Genomic DNA, 17,967 nt, shown 5'->3' on the forward strand with positions numbered 1-17,967 from the left:
CATTCATTAATTCATCCAACAAGCATTTGTGTATTTGTTGAGTCTTTACTATGGGCTAGGATCCAGGGTTAGGTGCAAGAGGATATACCAGACATTAAACGAATAGCTGCAATACAGAGTGCTGAGTGCTGGAATGAATGTAGACAGCATGCCATGGGGGCCGGAACAGAAAGCAGTTGACAGCAGGAAGAGGCAGGTGGAGGATGGCTTCACCAAGGAGTAAACAATTGACATGGATCTTAAAAGGATGCACAGGAATTAACCAGGTAAGGGAAGGAAGAGTGTCCCAGGCAGGAGACCCATATGTGTAAAGGGACTGTCAATTCCAGGTTTGTTGAGCAGCAGCTGGGTGTGGCTACTCCTGGAATTGAAGCTGGATAGGTAGACGGGGGCCAGACCCAATATTTTTCTGGAGGCAATGAGAAGCCATCCTATCCAGAGTGGACCAGATCTCAGTTTTAGCAAGATGTTGGTGGCTGTAAGGAGGATGAAGTGGAGGGAGAGCAGGGAGGGAGATCAGTTATATTGGTGGCTGCTCTGCACTGGGAGAGGATGGGGCTTGGCAGAAGGAGCAAGAGCAGGAGATGGCCATGAGCCTTCAGGGGTCAGGGTAGGGTAGCCAAGACAGCAGGCACTTAATGCAAAGGAGAAATAACATGACATCCAGTGGCACGTCCACCTGAAGGATGGTGATGTCTTCTGTTACCTAGGGAAGGGCACGCAGGAGGAAGGTGTGGGTTGTAGAAGAGTAATGGACTTAGCCTTTTCTGCATGCAAGCAGTGAGAGCTAGTGGGCCACTGGAAGGACAGATTTGGAAGTTCAGGATTAAAGGGGGACTACAGAGGTAGATTTGAGTCACCAGCAAATAGTTGATATCTGAAGCCACAAGCAAGGAGAAGAGGGCTAGGAGAGAAGAGGGCAGAGTGAGAATCAGAGAAGGGGTGATTGGAAGCATGGGCAGAAGTGACAGGGAGTAGGAGACCAGGTGAAGTTGGAGCGATGGGGGAGATGGTCAAAGAGCAATCAGAGAGCTGGAAAGAGGGAGGAGGGAGCTCCAGTAAGGGGGAAGGTTAAGAGCATAAAATAAAATCAAAGTAATGATATTCATTAACATTTCAAGCACTAAATATTTACTGTCCTAACTGCTTTTACTTGCACTATAGTCAGCCCCTGTCCCTTGGAAGGGAGACAGAAAAACTCATTTAATTCTGCCAGGAACCCTGTGGCGTGGGTATGTTATTATCATCTCCAGTTTACATCCAAGGAAACGGAGGCACAAAGAGATGAAGTCATCTGTCCAAGGTCGCCCAGCTAGTATGTGGTAGAGCTAGGATCTGAACTAAGGCAATCCGATTGCAGAGGCTGTGCTCTCAGCTACTCCAGGGTGCGGCCTCTCAGGCTACAGAAAGAGAGCAGGTAGTTAAGAACAGCCAGGTAGGGTAAGAGATCAGGTAGTGAGGGAAGTTATAGAGCAGCATGGTCTTAACACCCAAAGCAATTCTAGAACTTGTCCAGATGGCAGTTGTGTTTGGTGGGCATGTGTGTAAGTGCGTGGCCATGCACATGGGCCATGCCCCATGTCGGAGCTTGAATCCAGATTTGATGTGACAGATGCACACACAAATACTTAACTTGAATGAACCATGCAGAATCACACCAAGTGAGTATCCTATTGGGACTATGTGTTGTGGATGGTGCCAGGACAGGAACTCATGTTAGACTAGGACCCACCTGCTACTCCAAGTGTGATCCCACTTTCTACTCAAAGTATGGTCCATGAACCAGCAGTGTGGTCAGCACTGGGGGACTTACTAGAATTGCAGAATCTTTGGCCTCCACTGAAGACCTACTGAATCAGAATCTGCATGCTCTTCAGATCCCAAATGATTTATACACACTTACAATTTGAGAAGTACTTCTCTAGATAATTACTGCTACATTTTTTATAAATGATGGTTGGAGATAAGCCTCTAATGCTAAAGCATTTTAAAGGTTTTTATATCCTTGCATCTCTGTTGATAGAGGCTGGTGATCCTGGAGGATTTGGGCTTCTATAGATAGAGGTGGAGGAGACAGAACCCAACAGAAGCGATGGGACCAAAGATGCAGCTTGTAAATACCCTGTTCCCAGGCAACTGAGAAGCATCAAGGCCTAAGCACCTACCAAGTGCCAGGCCTTGTGCTAAGCACTGAGAAAGATCTCCCAGTTTAGTGGAGAAGACAGACACATCACTACTAGTGAGAATTCAGAGTGGGGCATGGAGGAAGAATGGGAACTATGCCTCACTGGTTGGGAAGGCTTCACGGGGGTCAAAATCCTTGATGTGAAAAGGCTTGTGGGTGCATGTGCCCACGTGCATGCTCTACTCCTGACATACAAACATGTCTGCAAATGAGAAAACTGTTCTCAGTCTATACAGCTTAGGAAATATACGTCCTTTCCCTCCTACCTAGGACATGGAGTTGGGTGGAGAGCGGGTGAGACCCAGTCACAGGTGGAAACAAGTTGATTAAGCATCGCGCTTTGCACTCTATTCTTCTAGCATGCAAATAGAGCCCTTCCAAAGGGGTAAACATTTGGCTGGGATTCTAAGGATGAGCAAACATCTGAGCTGAAACCTCTGGGTTTCCCAGCTGCGCTGACTGCTTGGGGCTTTTTGGGCCATTGTGTGAAAATGAAGACATTGTTGCAGAAATAGAGAGGCCCCATGTTGGAGTTTGAATCCAGATTTGATGTGACAGATGCACACACAAATACTTCACTTGACTGAACCAAGCAAAATCGTACCAATGACATCAATACCACATAGGAGCAGAAAGAGCAGGGCAGTGGAAAAGGCATGGACTTGGGGGTAAGAAACACCTGGATCAAAAGCCCATTTACCTGCTCAAAGGTCTTGGCTAAGGTTGCTTAACACCTCAGGTTCCAGGTTCTTCAACTGTAATATGTAGGCAATAATATCTCTCTTACAGGTGACATTTACCCCCGAAGTGAGTCATAACTGGGAAAGTATATGCAAAGCACACAGCATAGTGGCTGGCACACAGTAGGGGTGCAACAGAAGGCATTCCCTTTGCTCAACTCATCTAACTCCCGGAAAGCCTCACGGGTTAAAAGGTGTCAGCTCTGGGGTCTCAGCAAGGGCACATTCTCAGGACTCCTGAATTGGCTGCTCCCTTGGACTGGGCAGGTGGCAAGTTGAACTATTTCAAATTTCACAGAGTTTTGAGTTTCCTGAGCCATACTGCTGCCTCTTAGGGAGCAATCACAGACAGCAGCTTAATAGGTCTGTTAACCCGAGATACTCTTAGAAACAGAGAACGAAGAATGCCCTCTGGAGAAGGGCCTGGGCTCAGTTCAATTTGATTCATATCACCAAATGCTTCTTGAGTTCCTTATGTGCCGGGCATAGAGCCAGAAGCCAAGAAAACTACAGGAAACAAGACAGACCTATCTCTCACAGAGCTCCTAGTCTGTCAGGGAGACTGATGATGAAAATGCAAGTTCTCTACAGTGGAGTAAAGTCTGAAATCATGGAGGTATAGAATGCATGCTATGGGAGCCCAGGGGAGAAGAGCCCAACCTAGATGCAGAGCTGGGGAGAGGGGGTCAGGGAAGGCTCATTAGAGGAAGGGGATTCAGAAGGATGAAGGGCTGGCCAGGCAAGGGCAACGGCAGAGATTCCCATTCCCCTTGCTTGGGGAGACGAAGTGTTCCAGAGAGAAGAACATTGTACAAATGTGTAAAGCTCTAGAGGAGAAGGGAAGCCTGGCAAGTTCCAGAAACTGAAGGAAGTTTTGTGTAGCTAGAACTTAGTTTAGAGGGCTCAGAATGAGGCTGAGACAGGTAAGGACTATGAGGCTGTGCCAGCTATTTTATTTTATTTTATTTCTTATTTTTTGAGATGAAGTTTTGCTCTTGTTGCCCAGGCTGGAGTGCAATGGCACGATCTCGGCTCACCGCAACCTCTGCCTCCTGGGTTTAAGCAATTCTCCTGCCTCAGCCTCCTGAGTAGCTGGGATTACAGGCATGTGCCACCCCCGCCAAATAATTTTTTTTGTATTTTTAGTAGACACGGGGTTTCTCCATGTTGGTCAGGCTGGCCTCGAACTCCCAACCTCAGGTGATCTGCCTGCCTTGACACCCAAAGTGCTGGGATTACAGGCATGAGCCACCGTGCCTGGCCTAGCGATTTTATAATTTGGGGATCTATGCTAAGAATTAGGTGATGCCTTTAAGTGGTTCTAAGGAAGAAGTGATCTGGTCATTCATCCATGATTTCTTGTTGATTCTCTGCTGAGCACCTTTCAACCGGGCTATGTCCTGTTCATCTTTGAAGACCAGCTGAAGTCTCAACTCCAGGACACCTTCCTAAGCCCTGGGCTGGGCTTGGGATGTTTTCACATCTCTGTCTGCTCTATCACATATTGGTCATGCTATATACTGAGATCTTGGTTTAGGCTGTCTACTACCACTAAAGCATAAACTTCCTGAAGGCAGGCACTGGCAGAGTGGCTTGTTCAGCTGTTTTCCTAGCAATTTGGGTAGTGCAAGTATCAAATAAACATTTGTAAAATAGTTGGTGAGCTTGATTGACTTCCAGGAAAAAACACACACATAGAAACTCACAGAAAAACATACACCTCCTGTAATCACAGATGCCCAGACACAGAGAAAACCACAATGACAGGGGTTGTTTCTCTAGGGATCGTGAGGGGCTGCTTTTCTTTCCAATGGTCTCCTCTGACCAGGCTTGGTGGAAACAGCTCTGCAGGATGAACAAGGACACTGTTCCAGCCCTCCCCTCCTTAGGAACAATGTTGTGGGAAGCGGACAATCCTGGGCCTCACCCTGACCACCTGGCTAGTCTTGCCTTGATGCAGTAAGCTCCAGGCCACCCTAGCCCTGGGTAGGGCAGGCCTAGTAAAGGCCAAGTGACACACTTAAGTACATGTGGTGGGACTATAAATGACTTTTCTTTCAAATCTTCTTTGTTATACAAATAGTATATTTTAGATGTAATGTGTTTACTGCTCAAAATTAGAAAAAAGCCAAAAGATGAAAATAAGAGACAACATCTTGGGGTATATTTTTTCCAGGCTGTTTTCTATGCAAACAAGGATGTCTTTTAAACTAAATATATTCTTTTGGCAAACTTATTTTTTTTACTTAACAAAGTATTGCAACCACCCCTGTAGGTCTTTAAATATTCTTTCATGTTATTCCTTTTAGGAGCTGCCTAGTATTTTATTCTATGGCCATACCCTATGTTTATTTAACATTTCCTTATTGATGGACATTTTAATAGTTCTTAATTTTTCAGTATAATACATAATATCTTAGGGGAAATCTTTGAAGCTAAATCTTGATGTAGAGTTTTACTTATTTTCTTCAGATAAATTCCAGTAAGTGGAATTGCTAGATGCAAAGGCAGGTACAGTTGTCCCTCTGTATCTGCAGGGGATTTGTTCCAGGACCACCCTTGGATACCAAAATCTGCAGATTCCTAAGTCCCTTACAATATATTTTCGAGACTTTTGATTCACATCACCAAGTCACCCTCTGGAATGCCTGAACCATTTCGCACAATGTCAGCAGTCAATAGCATGCAAGTGTCCACATTATCCCCCAGACTGTTACAATTTTCTTTGATGACTTAAAAAGGGAAATGGTATTTCTCTTTTAAAATTACACTTGTTTCATTATTAATGAGGTCCATGATTTTCCATTTGTATTTCCTCTGTTACAAAGTGTTACTTTATAGCTTTGCTCATTTTGCGGGCTGGTTTGGCTAGGCATATGTCTCCTAAAAATTTTAAAGAACTCTTTGTGTGTCTGGTTGCTAATCCTTAGTCGATCACATGTTGCGATTTTTTTTTTTCTATTTAGTATTTGACTTTAAATTTTTATGGAACTTTTTTTTTTTAACCTAAATCCTTTCAAAGTTTTTTTTAATTGAATCTAGCAGTCTTTGCCTTTATGGATTCTACCTTTGTTGTTACTCTTTAAAGTACGTGCCCACCTGAGGTTAGAGATTCATGTTCCTCTAGTGCTGGAGTTTATGTGATTAAATGCTTGAGAATGCTTGAGGTATAGACGGTTTTTTTTTCTTTTGTTCCAATGGTTCAACCCACTGTTTTAACACCATTTATTACATAATCCATCCTTTCTTCAATGGATCTGAAATGACACTTTACTTATATACTAAAGTCTGTCTCTTTCTCACACGTACACAGGCATGTGTGTGCACACACGGAGGGATCTATTTCTGGACAATTATTCTCCACGTCTTATTTGTATGTCCACTCTTGTACTCATACCACATTGTTAACATTAATTTAGCCCATAACAACATTTTAATATCCGGAAGGATTAATCTTCCTTTAAAATTAGTTTTTTGGCTCTTCTGCATGTTAATTCTTCTAGATCAGAGGTTCTTAATTAAAAGCATGCATCAAAATTACTGGCAAAGTGTTCTGAAAACATAGATGCCTGGTTTCCACCGCCAACGTAGAAAATCAAAACCTCTAGCCTTGGGCCTAAGCATTAGTGTATTTGCCAAACTGCAAGAACCATGACTCTGGATGAACTTGGCAATAAGCTTCTGAGGCTAGAAGCCAAATCTGCCTGGTTACTGCTGATGCCCAGCCCCAGTGTCAGCCACATGGGTGGCACCGAATACATATTTGTTGAGAAAAGAGTATTAATATATTAATTAACATTTATTTATAACCAGCACTTTTACTTTGAACTTGGACTCCCAAAGGTCACTCACGTTAGGGGAGCTGAGGCAGCAGTGCAGGCTGGTGACCCATATGAAAGATGGCATCAGGGGAGGAGCTGAGTTATGCAAGAAGGGGATCGCTGTGTTCAGTATCTGAAGGGTGAATGTGAAGAAGAGGGAGCAGGTGTATCTGATGCTCCTCCAGGATGCAATACAAGAAAAACATTTTCAGAGACACCTAATAGACTATTAGAAGAAAGCATCTGTGCAAAAATGATAGTAGGTGCCCATCTGTTGAACGGGTTGGTGGCCTCCCCACATCAGGCATGTTTAGGCAGAGGGTGAGCTGAGCTGGCGTGTTGCCATCTTGCAGGGAGTGATTTAGAGAAGGTTCCTGTACTGAGTGAGATTGGACAGCTGGTAACCTCTAAGAGCTCTTCCAGCAGGGAGATTTTAGAATCTCAACAATACTTATTGAACAAGTTCTACCATTCAAAGGGATGAGAAGACTCTGGAAGTTTTCTTGTTGGTGAGAAAAGTTCAGACGAAGCCCAGAGGTCACTATCTAGGGAGATCCCCATTGAGGTCAACTTGACCTGAGGAACTTGGGTCCCTGACCTCGTCACATCCCAATGCCTGCTATGGGCTGAAACACTCACCCTTGCCATGAGATGTTTCGATAATCCAGGTGCAGTTCAAGTTGTTGGGGTAGAAGTCAGGGAACCCTGGCGACAAGATGGTCCCACTGGAGCCTTGAATGAAGCCACCACAGAGAGCTACAGAAGGAGTGAAGAGGGCAGTGAAAGACCAGAGGGCCTCAGGGAGCACCCCCGTCATCCTCCTGGGACCCCATCCCCCATCTCTCGAAAGCCCAACCTTCGCTGATGGGGTGAGGGAGTCAGTGGTCTTTTGAGCACCTGTGTTTCTGTGGCAGGAGAGGAGTCTGCTACTTTAGCGCCCCCTCATGGTGTCCCTCACCTTCACAACTGGGCAGGGCCCGGCTCCACTGGAAGTTGGGCTCACACTCCAGAGGCTCCCCGTCACTTAATGTGTAGCCCGAGTCACAGCTGAAGGTCACCAGCGCGCCCACGTAGAAGTCATTCCCATGACGCTGTCCATTTACTGGGATTCCTGGATCCAGACAGTGGTCTGACTGCAGTGTTATAGCTGAAAGAGAGAGGCCACAGCTGGGACAGACAGCTTACTGTCACTACAGAGGGACCCCAGTTGACTCCAAAGAGTAAGAAGAGAGCCCTGGTTTATTAAAGGCAGAAGTTGCCAATTACTGACTCATGAAATGTGGCCGTCAGAATTTGCTGAGAGTGGCTTAGGTGCTATGCTAAGGCTTAGGAGTAAGAAAATGACCTTGTCCTCATGGTGCTCGCAGCTCCAGCTTTCTATGTTGGTCTACAGAGAACTGAAGTGACAATGATCCTTTAAATCGAGGGGATGAATGTGGGAGGTGATGAGGAAGGACAAGTGTGGGTGTGAGATGCCATCTTGGGTTAACTTCATGGTCAGTCAAATGTTCTGATCCCAGAGTGCCCAGCGTGGCGGCACCCAATCACCTGCCAGGAGGTCTGCACGCAAGGGCCTAGCGTGAAGGTTGTGAACAACTCTAAGCTCCCATGACCTGAGGGATGCTGAGAGCAACAGAGTGCCTTCCCCAGGGCCTTCTGAAGGGCACAGCCTAGCCAAGAACACCATGGGGATGGGGCCAAGCAGGGGCCTGTGGTGGAGCACAGTCCTGAGGCCTTTGACCCACCTGGGCTGACCTTGTCATCCCTTTTCCTGAGCCCACTGAGACTCACTCTCATAGCGGAGCTGGAAGCCGATGTCCGAGTGACTCTTGTCGGTAGAGAAGAGGAGGTAGAGGTAGTTGCTGGTGCTGATGAGGAACTGGGGAACCTGGGTCCCGTGGTAAACCCCGATCAAGGGCGCTGAGTAAGTCCGCCCATCGCGTACTTCCAGGGTGTCATAGTTGACCTCGGTTTTGAATCTGCCAAATGACAGAAATGAAGCCTTCTTGAGAAATCCAAGCTTATTAATTTGCAAATGACATAAAGCCCTGCCTGACCCAGGGCTTCCGAATAACCAGATTTTGGCAGGCTGGGATCTTTTAATATAATTTGCACACATTCACTAGCGATGCAGAAGGACCTTCTCCACTCTATTTAACATCCCTCCTCCTCCTTCCATGGTTGGAAACTGCTCTCATCCTCTCTGTGGCCTGATCTGTGAGCCAGCTTAAGACCTAGAGGCACAATGACTAGCCTCATGGAGGTCAGAACATTCTAGGCTAGGGGTCAGCACACTAAAGCCTCAGGGCCAGATCTGGTCTATAGCCTGGAGAGCTAAGGATGCTTTTTACATTTGTAAAGAGATCTTAAAAAAAAAAAAAGGCAAAGCAGAGCATGCATCAGAGATATGCAAGTAGGCAAGTGGCCCACAAAGCCTAAAATATTTACCATCTGGCTCTTCACACAAAAGTTTGCAGACTGCTATTCCAGGCCAGGAACACTTTGTCCGGAAGAAGTTTGTTTTCACATTTAGGTGGCTACGTTCTCCACCCAAGGGGCATAGCCAGGGTGGGAGCTAGAAGTGGGGCACATGAGCAGGATTTGGGGCAGAGGTGGGGGGCTGCCTTCCCACGTTGGACATTTCCAGGAGAATGCTCGTCAGATACCAGAGTCATGCTTTAACATCTGATGGTGTCTATCTGCCCACTCCCCCTCCTTGGGGGCTGGGGAGGGGGGAGCTCTAACATCCCAAATGGTACCCAAGCCTTCTCTTCACCCCTCCTGCCATAGTCCCCTAAACAGCACAAACCAAGCCCAAGGGCAGAGCCAGTGAGGTCTGCCCCACCCAGGGCAATTTGGTCCAGTGTTCTCCAACCTTGCTGACATTTCAGCGTTGGTACTGGTCCCCTATCCACCCTGCATTCCCTCCCACGTGGCTCTGTAAAAATCTCCCCCTTGCCCTCTCCCCCAAGGCTGTGGTCACAAGCACCTGTCGAAGGTGATTTTGATGGGGTAGCCTGGCTGGGCCTCAATCACCCAGGCACAGCTCAAGGCATCCTTGTAGAAGCCAGGCCAGCCCGGAGAGAGGATGGTGCCGCTGGGCGAAGTCAGGTGACCACCACAGGGAGCTGGGGGGACAGAAGGAAGAGAGGCAGCTTTCTTCAGGGACAAATGAGTAAACAAACAGAAAATCTCTCTATAAAATGTGTCAGGCAATAAGTATAGTTTTTGTTTTTATGGAAAATTACATAAACTATAAACTGTGAGTTTTGTCTACTGGGACCTTTATGGGTAGGTCCAGTTATATCATGTGGAGTGTTATTAAAGGCCAGATGGGAGAAATGAAAAGAATCCTTTAAGCAAAGTCCCTTTGTCATTCTAGAAGGGCTGAAGTACAACTAATATTTGGGCCACATGGTGTTTTTCCTTCGTTCCTCACTCAATTGTCAGGCCTGAGGCAGGGGCATAGACCCAGCCAACCTCCTCACATCTGGCCCTGGAGAAGGTCAGAACCCCAGGACCCTACAACTCAGACGTTCAGCTCAGGGTGCCGGTACTCCCTGCTTCACTGTAAACTCCAGGAGGGCATGGGATGTGTTAATTGTGTTACACAACTGGGTATCCCCAGTATTGAGCATGGTGCTTGGCACACAGTTGTTTCTCAATGATTGCTGGTTGGATGAATCAATGAGTTAATGACAGGATGAATGAATACAGTCCAAGGCAGGGAACTCCACAGGACACTGGGAGGCCTAGGCACAGCTGCTGGCTGTCTCTGGTCTTGCAAAGTCTGTTATTTATGCCTCTGTCCACATGTCCCATCCTGGGCTTCCCCATTCTCAGCTGCCTCTTTCCCACCACCACTGTCTCTTCCTGCAACCAGACCCTCAGCCCCTAAGGTAGTCATTAGAGCTATTCCTCTTTCAAGGGCACATGATTGGATTTCACTGCCCACCCCTTTTGAAGTTATGCAAGGTCACGTGACTGCTGTGACCAATAAAATGAGAGCAGAAGTGCTGTACATCATGTCTCTGTGGAAACTTTATAAGCCTGTGTGTGATCTGCACACAGTTTCCTTTTCCGGCCTCGGTAATTGTGGAAGCAAGTGTCAAGAGGGAAGTCTCATCAATCTGGGCCCCTAAGTGACTCTAAGGAGCAGACATCCCTGATGACCCATGTTAAATATGTAGCTTCAGTGGTCTGTGTGAGATATAAGCTCCTGATTTTTAAGCCGCTGGGATTTGGAGGTTGTAAGTTAACACCGTGTAGCCTAGCCCACCCAGACTAGCACACCTCCCCAAGGCTGATGATGAGGATGATGATGACATCCACTATTACTGCTTCTGTCACTGCCATCACCACTGCCATTGACTGGGGGTTGACTCCACCTCAGTCAGGCACTGAGCTTACATACGTAATCATGTTCACTCTTTGCAAAACAAAATCCCCTGTGAGGTTGGTGCTATTATTACCTCCTAGGAAAGCTGAGGCTTACGGAGGTTGAGTAACTAGCCTTGGGTTAGCAAGTTGCAGAGCTTGGATTCAGACCTAGGCAAGACAGCGTAAATCCAGAGATTTTAAGCTAAGCCGCCTCCCATGTCAAAGGAACCTCTGCTCCTTTGTACTCCCTTACTATGGAGCTATCAGATGCCAAAAATTCCCTGAACAAGACTGGGGAGGAATAAAGAGCTACATAGCACTTCTCTCTCTGCAAAGTTTTGTAGATTTCTCGAGGTAATCAGTTTCATAAAAGATAGTCTAATATACCCAATCCTCTTTTTTTTTTAATGCTATAACCTTCAAGAATTATCTAAAATAGTTGTCAAGTATTCTTAATAGAAACTTATATTAGGAAGTTTAATTAACAAAGAAGATTATAATAAGGGTAGTAGTCGTCAACTCTTACTGATGACTTACTATGCTAATTGCTACACATGTGTTATCTCATTTAAATGCATGCATTTATGAAGTTATTATCCCTATTTTATAGAGAAGAAAACTAAGGCCAAGTAGGTTAAGAGACTAGATCAAGGATACAGAGCTAATGAAATTAGAGCTGAGATTGAATCTCAAGACTTCTGTCTCTAAATCCCCCGTGACACATAATAGTGCTACAACCACAGCCAACAGTAATAAGCTCATGTGTATCGATAACTTACTATGTGTCAGGGCTTAATGTGGATTATCCTTGTGACAATGGCAACACTAAATGGCACGTACTATTATCATCCTCGTTTTATAGGCGGGGATTATTACCCCATTTTCAGTAAATTGAGGCTTAGAGAAACTAAATAATTACATAGAGCTATATCAAACATTGGGAGAGTAAATTGTGTATGTGTATTGTCACTTCCTGGGTAACCCCAGTTTTCAAAACCCATCCATCCATCTCACTGCAACTACTAATGCTTTCCTCCATTTCTCAGGTGGACACATGAGACCTTAGAGGTGGGGAGGGGCGTGCCTATTGCTACATCCCATTGTTACAATACAGGTTTGCATCTCAGCAGTGAGGAGGGACTCTTTCTTGGCTCCATCTCAGCACAGGCCCAGCATCTCTGGTTGTTGGACTGTGATTTCCCCATTTACTGCCCGGGGAGCTACAGATCATGCAGTCTCCATTGCCTGTCTAGGCCACTCTCCACTCAGTGCATACATATCAACGAAACCCCATCTACAATCTCCAGAGAGGGAAATTCAATCCCTTCCTTTGGCGGTCACCACTTTGCTTTCTTTCTCTGCTGTGTTGCTTCATTAGTTTGGCTAGTTAATCTCTTCCTGTGCACCTGTGATTGTCCAGTGACCTATTTAATCATTCTGTCCTTCACTTTCTCTGTTGTTCATCTTCATATTGCAGAGTGGTAGTTGCCCGGCAGGGATTTGGAGGGGAGGATTCTTTTTTTTTTTTTTTTTAATTTTTTAAAATTTTATTATTATTATACTTTAAGTTTTAGAGTACATGTGCACAATGTGCAGGTTAGTTACATATGTATACATGTGCCATGCTGGTGTGCTGCACCCATTAACTCGTCATTTAGCATTAGGTATATCTCCTAAAGCTATCCCTCCCCCCTCCCCCCACCCCACAACAGTCCCCAGAGTGTGATGTTGGAGGGGAGGATTCTTAAATGCAATGTCTCTTTCACATTTGAAAAGATGATTGACCTCACTCTTAAACATAAAAATACATATTAAAAGCACAGTGAAATATTGTTTCTCATCCATCAGATAGGCAAAATCCAAAGTTTAATGACACATGAGGCCGTGAGAAACCAAGGATTCTAGGACCTTGCTGGTGAACGTGCAATATGGTACAACTGCTGTGCAGAGGAATTTGGTAATATCCAACAAAATGCATATGCATTTACTCTCTGACCCAGCAATTCTATTTCTAGAACTCTCCCAAAGATACACTGGCAAAAATATGAAATGACATATATGTACAAGGTTATGCAAGGTAGCACTATTTGTGATAGCAAATGTATGGAAACAGCCCAAATGTTCAGTGGTAGAGATCTAACTGAATAAACTAGGGTAATCAACAAAATGGACTATTTATGCAGCTATAAAACAAGAATGAGGGATATTCTATATAATATCATGGAGTGGTTCCCAGACTATGTTGTTAAGTGAATAAAAGCATGGTAGAGATTAGTAGGTATGGTATGATTCTCTTTATCTAAGAAAGGGGCAGAGGCATACACACATATTCACTCATATTAACAATCACTGAAAGGATAAACCAAAAACTAAAAGATTATTCACAGAAGGACGGAGGGAACAGGGTAGAGAAGATAGGGATAGAAGCTAGGCTTTCTCAGAATATACCTTTTTTATATATTTAGCTTTGGAACTATGTAAATATTTTAAATAATTAAAATGAAAGATTAAGCAAATCAATAAACTGATAAGCAATTTCTAGAAACTCAGAAGCAGAGTGAAATAAATGAATGCAATGCTAGATTAGTTGGTAGCATAATCCCACATGAAGAAACTAGTAAAAGAGATTTTAAAACACAATAATTTGATAGCCTACCTTAATAGGATACAAAAAGAAATGAAAAAAAAAAAAACCCTTAAACTATTCTCTGTAATTATATTATTGTTGGTAGCCATTGGTATTACTACTTTGGGACTCTTAGGCATGTCCTATGAATTGGGAAATTATATTAATGGTGTTGGGAACTGGGATTTTCAGCAAGAGTGAAAGGAGATATGGATATGATATTAAAGAAGTTAAGTAAAAAAGAAAAAGTGTTTTTACATTGGAAATGAAATAAACCCATGACGAATTTTCTTTTAAAAACTGTTTCCTAGCTGTGTTCATTGAAAAGGCTTAGAAACAGGAACGAAGTCAATAATAAAAAGTACCCCTAGTGCCCAAATTTTAAATATCAGTTTCCACTAAAAGGAACCAGGGTTTCTAGGAGAAATAACTGATTCTGGGTCAGAGACAGAAAATGTACAAGATGATGTTAGGCCAACTTCAAAAGGCTCCCACTAGCCAATGACACAATTTGAGCATTAATTAGAACAAACTGCAGTAGATTTAAATACATAAAGTATGTTTGGATTGTAATGATATTTAAAAATGTGCAACTTTGGAAGGTGTTAGGGAATCAACTCATTAATACAAAAACCGGCAAATACAAATAATTATTTCCTTGCTTTTCCTTTACAAACTGTATCTCGGAGTAACCAAATAGTTGATGAGGACAAGTTTTCTTTAAGTGTAGCATTTCAGCTTATGAAAAAATAAATTATAGCATGTTACCATTTTGTAATTCCTAGGGTATGATCATTAATGGTTCCTAATGACCCCAAAAGAGAGATACCCAAATATCATATGATTCTGTTGAAGACATTGCCTACAAGATATTCTCGCTAAAAAAATGGAAGTTCAATCTGATTAAGTTTCTAGATCTTACTGCCAATTAAAGGGAACATAAAAGAGAGACAATTGTGTTAAACAACCTCCCAGGGAAGCAACTGGCAAAATTCCGAATGCAGGAGACTCCTCATTCTGAATAATTCTCATTTATCTCCAGATAAATGACCCGACTTCTGCAACAACAAAAAAATCTCAAGGGGGTGGGGAGTAGACACCTATAGATTAGAAAAGACTTGAGACATATCAGCCAATTATAATGTATGAAGCTAACAAGGATACTGACTTAAAAATACTATCAAAGAACGTATTAGCCAATCATGGAAATTTGATTATATTAATTGTTTTTAATTTTTTAAAATGATAGCAATGTGGTTATGTTTTAAAGAGCTAGTTTTATCTGTTGGAGACACATTACTAAAATGTCATAGATGAAGTGTGATGACTGAAATTTGCTGCGAAATAATCCCAGAACCAGCAGGGTGGTTGTGGGGGAATGGGTGGGGATATAAATGAAAACAAAATAGGCCATGAGTTTATAATTGTTGAGGTTGACTGATAGGTACATGTGGGTTCATTATACTATTCTCTCTGTTTTGGTATATGTTTGAAATTTTTCATTTAAACAAGGTGAAGGCAAAAACAGGGAAGCACACACATGTCTGTGTGCGTGCACATGCACACACACACACACACAAAGAAAAGAAGGAAAAAGAAGGAAGGATCCTCTCTTGAACAGGGAGAAGAGCTCAGCAATAAGACAAAAGAGGGACCCTGTGACTGTCCCAGCACCTGGTACTCACTAGATGTTCAATATTTGTTGAAGGAATGAAATACTGGTTGATAGGCAGGGATACTGGGTGTTATGGATGGAATTGTGTCCTCCCAAAATGTAGAGGTTGAAACCCTAGCCACCAATGTGACTGCATTTGGAGAGAGAGCCTTTCAGGAGGTAAATAAGGTTAAATGAGGTCATGAGGATAGAGCCCTAGTCCAGTAGGACTGGTGTCCTCATTATAAGAGGAAGACACCAGGGGTGCATGTGCACAGGAAAACAGGCCACGTGAGAACACAGAGAGGAAGTGGGCATCTGCAAGCCAAGGAGAGATGCTTCAGGAGAAACCAGCCCTGCCAGTACCTTGATCTTGAACTTCCAGCTTTCAGACCTGTGAGAAAATAAATTTATGTTGTTTAAGGCACCAAGTCTGTGGCACTGTGTTACGGCAGCCCAGGCTGACTGATACACTGAGCTTCTGATGAGGGGTTGCTGTCCCCTGTGAGGGATGAGCCACTTCTCCTGACCCTGATGCTAAAGTTGTGCAAGGCAAAGAGGAATAGGGAATGGTGACAGAATAGAATACAGAGAACAAATACTCATTGAGCACTGAGCTCTACAACATGCCAGGCTCTGACCTTCATGTATGCTTTTGCTTCCCCTGTGTGTTAGTCTTCACAGCCACCTATAAGGCGGGCACAGACATTAACCTCATTTCATAGCTGAGGGAACATACTTGAGGTACAAAGAGCTTAGGCGACTGGCCAGGAACACACACTAGGAAGTCGCAGGGTCAGGATTTAAACCTGGGCAGTCCAGCTCCAGAGCCTGCATTTTTAACCACTCTGGGTGGACGTGGGAATGCCCACCTCAACCACTGCTTCTGTAACGGGATGTAGGCTGCTGCTAAGGGGTTTTGTTGACTAGCTGTCCAGTGTGAGTGACCAGAAGTAGTGGAAGTCCTTTCCTCTGACCAGAGTGCCTCTGGAGTTACTCAGCCCTGCGGCTGGAAGTGTTGCCTCCTACTCTCTAGCTCTGCCTCCCCACTACCCACCTGTGCCCCTTACCACCTGTCTTCCACTGTTTTGTGGTAGAATATAAGCAGAATGAACTTGGGACTCAGACCTCACTTGGAGGTTAAAAGTGATGATTCTGGAATCAGAATATCTGGATTTGAACCTTGACTCTCTCATTCACTTAGCTATGGTCTTAAGCAAGTTACATAACCATTTTGAGCTTCAGTTTCTTCATCTGTGAAGTGAGGATAACAATACCTCCTCATGAAGAGTCAATGGGGCAGTGGATGTTGATATGGTTGGGCTCTGTGTCCCCACCCAAATCTCACCTCGAGTTATAATCCCCATAATCCCTGCGTGTCAAGGGCAGGACCAGGTGGAGGTAATCGGATCATGGGGGCAGTTTCCCCCATGCTGCTGTCATGATAGTGAGTCGCAGGAGATTTGATGGTTTGCATCTGGCATTTCCCTTGCTTGCACTCACTCTGTCCTGACGCCCTGTGAAGAAGGTGCCTGCTTCTCTTTTGCCTTTCACCATGAGTGTAAGTTTCCTGAGGCCTCCCCAGCAATGTGAAACTGTGAGTCAATTAAACCTTTCCTTTATAAATTACCCAGTCTTGGGCATTTCTTCATAGCAATGTGAGAATGGACTAATACAGATGTAAAGCAATTGGCCTGGTATTTAGCACATAGTATGTGCTCAATGATTACCAGCTGGGTGATTTTGGGAACGTCAACTCACCTCACTGTTTTTGCGGATTCTCATGGATAAAGCACAATTACATCTTTCTTGCAAGAGTGGCAAGAAGATTAAATGAGAGATTGCTAGAAATGCAGTAACTACCCTTATAGTTCTTCCTTAATGCCAAAATGAGCTACCACCACCACTTAGATTTCTTTGTGGTCATGAGGAGAACTGACCTTCTTTCTTTATTACAGTACTTGCTTTTTTCCTGATTTTAAAAGTAACACATTTGGTGTAGATAGAGAATAAATGTGGATGTGTTTATACCAAACTGTTAAACCATTTTCCTCTGGGGAGTGGGACTGGGAAATGAGCATTTCCACTTTGAGCTGTATTGCACTTGTGCATCATTTGAAATTTTTACAACCACCAAGTATTCCTTTATTTGTTTATTTGACAGAGTCTAGCTCTGTCGCCCAGGCTGGAGAGCAGTAGTACAATCATAGCTCACTGCAGCCTCTAATTCCCAGGCTCAAGCAACCCTCCGAGTATTTCTTTAAAATTTAAAAAATGAAAATACAGGGGCCAGGTGTGGTGGCTCAAGCCTGTAATCCCCGCATTTTGGGAGGCCGAGGCTGGAAGATCATGAGGTCAGGAGTTTGAGACCAGTCTGGCCAACATAGTGAAACCCCGTCTCTACTAAGAATACAAAAATTAGCCAGGCATGGTTGCATACACCTGTAGTCCCAGCTACTCGGGAGGCTGAGGCAGGAGAATCGCTTGAACTTGGGAGGCAGAGGCTGCAGTGAGCTGAGATCACACCACTGCACTCCAGCCTGGATGACAGAGCAAGATTC

General features: G+C 44.3%; 1 protein-coding gene across 12 annotated transcripts in view; it reads right to left on the minus strand.

Annotated features, from left to right (window-relative positions):
* CSMD2 (CUB and Sushi multiple domains 2) overlaps positions 1-17,967 on the minus strand; it is a 651,845-nt gene that overhangs the window by 202,814 nt on the left and 431,064 nt on the right. For all 12 annotated transcript variants that reach the window (XM_047443685.1, XM_047443656.1, NM_052896.5 and 9 more), the window contains 4 exons: positions 9,736-9,874; positions 8,538-8,725; positions 7,705-7,893; positions 7,386-7,502 (listed from right to left, as the gene is read on the minus strand). In XM_047443685.1, the coding sequence (XP_047299641.1) occupies positions 7,386-7,502; positions 7,705-7,893; positions 8,538-8,725; positions 9,736-9,874 (633 nt within the window). The remainder of the gene's footprint in view (positions 1-7,385; positions 7,503-7,704; positions 7,894-8,537; positions 8,726-9,735; positions 9,875-17,967) is intronic.

This window comes from Homo sapiens, chromosome 1 (genome assembly GCF_000001405.40).
Source record: "Homo sapiens chromosome 1, GRCh38.p14 Primary Assembly".
NCBI lineage: Eukaryota > Metazoa > Chordata > Mammalia > Primates > Hominidae > Homo > Homo sapiens.